At 42.3% G+C, this 4,738-nt stretch overlaps 1 annotated feature.

Annotated features, from left to right (window-relative positions):
• Positions 3,433-4,356: an enhancer, noted in NCBI's record as "OCT4-NANOG-H3K27ac hESC enhancer chr8:25457409-25458332 (GRCh37/hg19 assembly coordinates)". NCBI's record gives its function as "activates a minimal SCP1, AML or CMV promoter by ChIP-STARR-seq in primed H9 embryonic stem cells {active_cell/tissue: H9 hESC(primed)}" and the evidence as "EXISTENCE:reporter gene assay evidence [ECO:0000049][PMID:30033119]".

The raw sequence follows: 4,738 nt of genomic DNA on the forward strand, positions 1-4,738 counted from the left end.
TCTTTCTTTCTTTCTTTCTTTCTTTCTTTCTTTCTTTCTTTCTTTCTTTCTTTCTTTCTTTCTTTCTTTCTTTCTTTCTTTCTTTCTTTCTTTCTTTCTTTCTTTCTTTCTTTCTTTCTTTCTTTCTTTCTTTCTTTCTTTCTTTCTTTCTTTCTTTCTTTTTGTAGCGATAAGTTCTTGCCATGTTGCCCAGGCTGGTCTCAAAGTCCTGGCCTCAAACAATCTCTCCACCTCAGCCTCCCAAAGTGCTGGGATTACAGGTGTGAGCCACAACGCCTGGCTGAAAACATGGTACTCTTCAGCATGGTTGCATTGAACAGCCTTAGTCCTAGATGAGAAGCAGGATTCCTGAGTGGAAGAGTATATTGGTATTTTCATGTCAGGTGAAACACAGCTAAAGGAACGCTTCTCATCAGATTATGGGGTAACCTGATTGCAGGTGTCTAAGGGGATTAAACAGCTCCTTAAATTCCAAACCGTCACTGATGATTAGACAGTAGGGTCCCAAACCTGGTGCTTGAGTTTATCACCCTGCCGAAGATGGATAGGACATCTCGAATAAGACAGCCATAAAGTACTGGGGCAATTTCTCAAAGCTGCAGCTGGGCCCTCTCCCTCTGACCTGTGGATACCAGAGAGTCTTGGCCAGCTCTGCAGAGCTGTCCCAGCCTGGGTGGGTTTTAAATGATGTGGGGTGAGTGGAGGTAGGCACGATTCCCTGGAAATGCTTCTCAAGTTGGTGTGCAGTATGAGTGCCGAGTGCCAAGTACCAAAGAAGGAAGGGGAAAATAATTAGAAATGGGGCATTTTCCCACATGTTTCCAGGGAGCTTTGCTGTTTTCACCTTGGGACGTAGGTTAATGCAGTTTTCCAACCAGCTGCACAGCGCAACCCAAACCTGGCCTTTGAAGTACCCAGTGCTTATATAGACAATAGACAATGCAACTCGGGAAATACCTCGAGGTATTAGACTTCATTTAGGAAAAAAATTGAGAGAACATCTAACTATCTCTGAAGTGTTGATATGGAAATCCCAGCGTAATGTTCTATTACTTTTTTTTCCCTGATTCCTATTTGGATAGACTCCAATGACATGCAGAAAAAGTACAGTCCTACTTTATATTCATTAGAGACTCGAGGAGCCCAGAAGACAAATAGTCCCTGTGGAGGGACCATGTCTTTAGGGTGGCCCACTGGATTGAGGTCAATTGTCACAAAAGAGACCAGAAAGGCAGAATGAGCTGCTTTGCTTTTGAAAGTAAAGCAAATTACTCTGTTGCCTTGTATTAACATATACCTCTGTGGGTTCCTAAGTATTCTTGTTTCTGGGTGTATCTGTATGTATTTGTGATTCTATGCCTACCTCTTTAACTTAGGAAAATAGCAAATGCAACTTGAGATAGAAAGTCCCCAAATCTTGGGTTCTGTTTCTAGCTCTTACTGACTTCATGGAATGACCTTGTGCTGGACATTGACACATGCTGTTTGCCTGCTGCTCCAGTATGTTATGAGAAAAGGCTAATAAAGTATAATCACAACGTCCTAAAAATGTCAAGTCCATGCCCCTTGGGCCTCCCATAACTATTCTCATCTGCAAAATGGACCTGGTAACTCTGCGCCCTGCCTTCCCCACACAGATGTTAGGAAGCTGGGCTGCAGAACATCTGTAAAGCAGTTTTAGATTTTGGAACATGGGAACAATAAATGACCATAACAGCTATTTATCATGAAAGAGGAGATGACGATATATTCTATATTTCAAGCCCCACTTCTCTCATCTACTTGAAAATAGTTTTGCTCACGATTGAGGCCATCAGTTAAGGAGGTATAAGTGTACAAAATGCAGAGTAAGGGAGGAAATTTTGACTTAAAACTTTGCCACCCTGGGTGAAAATTAACTCTCTGAAAGGATGTGGAAGTGTATATTCATGAGCTGAACGTATCACTGTAGCTTATAAAGAAGAAGAGAATGCTATTGAGTCTGATGCAGAATAAAGTGGGGAATGGCAGGTGCCAAGAATCAGGGACTCTAACTTGGCCAGAACCCGAGTCAGTTGAACTGGGTTACTGTTTGGGGACCTTTGCGGACCTTAGTAGGGTGGGGATGACTTAGCAGGCAACGTCTTCAGAAGCAGAAAATTATGTCCTAGTAAACATCACAAAATTCAGCAAAGTTTAAATCCTAGAGGATCATGGACAATATCTTTGTAGACCAACTGGCTGGTCTTTGACCAAGCATGTGTGTATATATGTATGTGTATATATGTGTGTATATATGTATATATGTATGTATATATGCATGTGTGGGTGTCCATCCAAGAAGAAGCAAAACAATTGCTTTCAAAGATAAGTAAACAACATTTGGGGATAGCCCATGCTGAAAGTGGTTAAATCAATCATCCCATCCTTCCGGAGTCTATGGTCTCATTTATTTAGTCCTCAAATATATGCAAAGTAAAAATACTTATATTTAATATAGTCAAGTCAGTGCTTTGTTTGCATCCAAGGCACTAAGATGAAAATGGTCTCTGTCCTCTAGGAGCTTGCAACTTAGTAGGGGATTTAAGACTTTTCCATAATTAGTTAATTTCTCCAATTAAATTAAAATCCTCTCCTGTCTCTTTCCCTACCCACTAACTTTGTCAGAAGTCCAATATCACCATCTTACGGCTCTCTTGCTCCATCCTCAGAACCATCTAAAGAAAACTCCTCCAAGGCTGGGTGCAGTGGCTCATGCCTGTAGTCCCAGTGCTTTGGGAGGCTGAGGCAGGAGGATCACTTGAGGCCAGGAGTTTGACATCAGCCTGGGTAACACAGTGAGATCCTGTCTCTACAAAATTAAAAAAAAAATAGGTCTGTGGCAGCACATGCCTATAGTCCTAGCTACTGGGGAGGCTAAGGCTGGAGGCTCGTTTGAGCCCAGGAGTTGTAGGCTGCAATGAGCTATAATTGCACCACTGCCCTCCAGCCTAGGTAACAGTGAGATCCTGTCTCTAAAAATAATAAATAACTATATAAATAAAGTGAATAAAACCCCTCTAATAAAGGAGATCCTTGTGATCCCTCCTGCAAACAGGTAAGAGACCGGGTCTGTCCTTGGGCTGCCCCTGCCCCTGCCGTTGTCCCTCACTGCCACACGGTGCCACTGTTGAATGGGCATAGTGGCTTTTTTCAGGCAGGTAAGTCCCAGCTGATTCCACTTCCTAAATTATCCCCTGTTCTCATTGGGTTTCTAGACGACAGCCCTCAGTGCCCAGCCATTTGGGTTCTATACAGTCCTCCTCCTCACCTTGGGGAGCTGTGCCAGGAAGGTTCAGGAGTCAGCCCCCTGCCAGGCTCATGGATGCTGCCTTTCAACCCGAGAAATGCCAGCGTTTCTCACCAGTCACTCCACCCACTTCCTGCCTCCCTTAAATAAACTCCTTTCCTCAAAGGTGTTCCTAGCCACCAGAAACACAAAACAATGGCTTCCCTTCACTTGAAGGAAAGCCTTCTCTATCACAGGGATGAGTCACCTTCCAAAGAATGCGCAGGGATAATCACCAGGACCCCTCTTGCTAACTCGGTAAAAAACAAACACAGGTTCGGTTTCCAGCATGACTCTCCGCTAAGCATATAAAGAAATAGTTTAAACTGGGCAGAATGCAATAGCTGATGGGAGAATTGCAAAGAAAGAGTGATGGGAACACAGATTAGCGAACATTGATGTCAATTTGGAGTAATCTGGGAAGACCAGATTGGGGAGGCATTTGTGCTGACCTTTGATATGCAATAGGATTTGACAGATGAATGTGGTAGGAAAGGGTATTTGCAACCCAAGGAGGTAAGACAAACGAATGCACAGAGGTGGGCAAAACGCGTGTCATATTTGATGCCCAGGGGTGGGTGGTGGTAGTGGAAGTGGGGAACTTTGTGTGTTATAGTGTGGGGGCCATGTGGGGAGATATGGAAGTTGAAGTCTGGGGCTTAGAATGCCCTGGAAGACAACTAAAGATCTGGCCTGTTTTCCTTTTATGTTACTGTATCTGCTGATCAGCTCAAATCGAGAATAAACAAATCAAGGAATGAACACAGAAGCTAAAAGTTGAAAACAAAGGTTGAAATTGAGTTGCTTTAATGTAGCCAAATCCTACATTTTTATTAAAAAAAAATTCTCAAAGAAAAAAAGCTGAACTTGTAGATTTCAGTAAGGTGAAATAGAATGTTTGGAGAATTTCAATAAAACACTGAATTAATAAGTCTTATTTTCCCCACGATTTCAAACCATTTTTGAGTTGTGTAAACAGTCAATACTTCACTGTTATGTCCTTGAACTGAGTCCTTTTAGTGTTCAGAAAGAGACATTTAGAAGAAAATGACACAAAAATTTCTTCCTCAAACCACCTTGTTGAAGTTTCTCCAGGGACCAAAGTCGATGATTTGTAAATTCCTTTACTCTTAAAATAAAAGGCATTTTCATAAAAGAAAAGGTGATGGCCAAAGACAGAAACCATTATGCACACCGTCACCTATTCAGGAGGGAAAATAGTCACAGGGAAGATGTCATTTATTCTCTTCCTCACGGTGCTCGACTGTCTTACATTCAAAAACATTCTATGAAGACAAGGACATCCATAAGTAACAATAAAAGCCCTTTTGCAGCTGTTTTAAAGAGTTGTAGGAGTTGAGGATCTCACAGTGTTAATAGGACCATCTTATGCTTTAGTCAGGAGGCTTTCTTACCCGGCATCTCGTTTGC

The sequence above is a fragment of the Homo sapiens genome, chromosome 8, assembly GCF_000001405.40.
Source record: "Homo sapiens chromosome 8, GRCh38.p14 Primary Assembly".
Lineage (NCBI taxonomy): Eukaryota > Metazoa > Chordata > Mammalia > Primates > Hominidae > Homo > Homo sapiens.